Source organism: Homo sapiens, chromosome 10, assembly GCF_000001405.40.
Source record: "Homo sapiens chromosome 10, GRCh38.p14 Primary Assembly".
Taxonomy (NCBI): domain Eukaryota; kingdom Metazoa; phylum Chordata; class Mammalia; order Primates; family Hominidae; genus Homo; species Homo sapiens.
The window spans coordinates 29,025,165-29,026,519 of NC_000010.11; positions in this window are offsets into that span (position 1 = coordinate 29,025,165).

Consider the following 1,355-nt stretch of genomic DNA (forward strand, 5'->3'; position numbering starts at 1 on the left):
AAAAAAGCTAAACTCCACTACATATGGACTTTTTAGTTTTCAACTGGCAGGCTCTTCTTTTACAAGTTCCCTTATACTGAGAGGAAACAAGTTTGCATTGAAGCCTTGTTTGTTGAAGGAAATGCTGTTTGGGGAGTTGTCTAAAGATAACTGGGTAAGTGAATCTGTGCTAGTAGCCTCTGTGATGAGAGGTGAAGCTCAGCCCCAAATCTAAATTCTCTGGTCTGTGGCAGTAGCACTTTGGCGGCCAAAGCTATTGTTCACCAACGTGGTGCAGTTGCACAAGCGTGGCTTCAGAATGAGTACGTGGTAGGCATCCACCACCTAGGAGCTGCAGTACTTATCTTGCTTTTGTTTTTAGAGACATGGCCTTGTTCTGTCTCCTAGGCTGGAGTGCAGTGGTGTGATCATGGCTCACTGCAGGCTTGACCTCCTGAGCTCAAATGATCCTCCCACCTCAGCCTCCCAAATAGCTAGTACTGCAGGTACACACCCCATGCCTGGCTAATTTTTCTATTTATTTTTTGTGGAGATGGGATCTCACTATGTTTCCCAGGATGGTCTCAAAACTCCTGGCCTCAAGCAGTCCTCTCGCTGTGGCCTCCCAAAGCAGAGGGATTATGGGCATGAGCCACCGCGCCTGGCAAGGACTTATGTTTAAAATGAGGACCATATTTGGAATTAAGGCCTCATAGGGTTGTTGTAGAAAACCCTGTGTGCAGAACCACCCAACTAAAGTTAGCTCAAAGGGAAGCTGGTGGGACGACGGGTCATACGCTCTTCACTACCATGAGGACTGAGACAGGTGGTGAAGAAAAAGACCATGGGCTTTAGAGCAGATAAGGTTGGTTTCCAATCTTGATTTTGTACCAACAAAATGTGTGACCCTGAGCGATGCACTTAGCCTCTTGGAGGTGGATTCCTCACTTGCAAAACCGAGATAACACCAGCCTTGGAGGCTTGTTGGGAAGAGTGCAAGTTGGTAGATTGTTTAGCTATGTCTGGAATTTAGTGGGGATCTAAGAGGGAATCTCTTGCCTTAGAACACTGTAGGTGTTCTACCGTCACGTAGCCCTTACAAATGGAAAAGTAGAATGGGGTAAAGAATTCCAGGCATTTACTTTGTCACCCCCTAGGCCCGGGAAGATGTATCAATTAGCGACAAGACCAGTCTAGAGCCATCTGCTGGAGCAGCTGTAGCGCCCTCGCAGAATCCTGCCCCTGGGATGACTTCCTCCGCCGTAGGTATTCATTCAGATGCTTTATGATGACAAAACTGACGGAGCTGGGTCACTAACCAGACCCCCTCCCATTGTTGACATCATTGACAGGGTGGCTTGCTTTTTCCTCTTCCT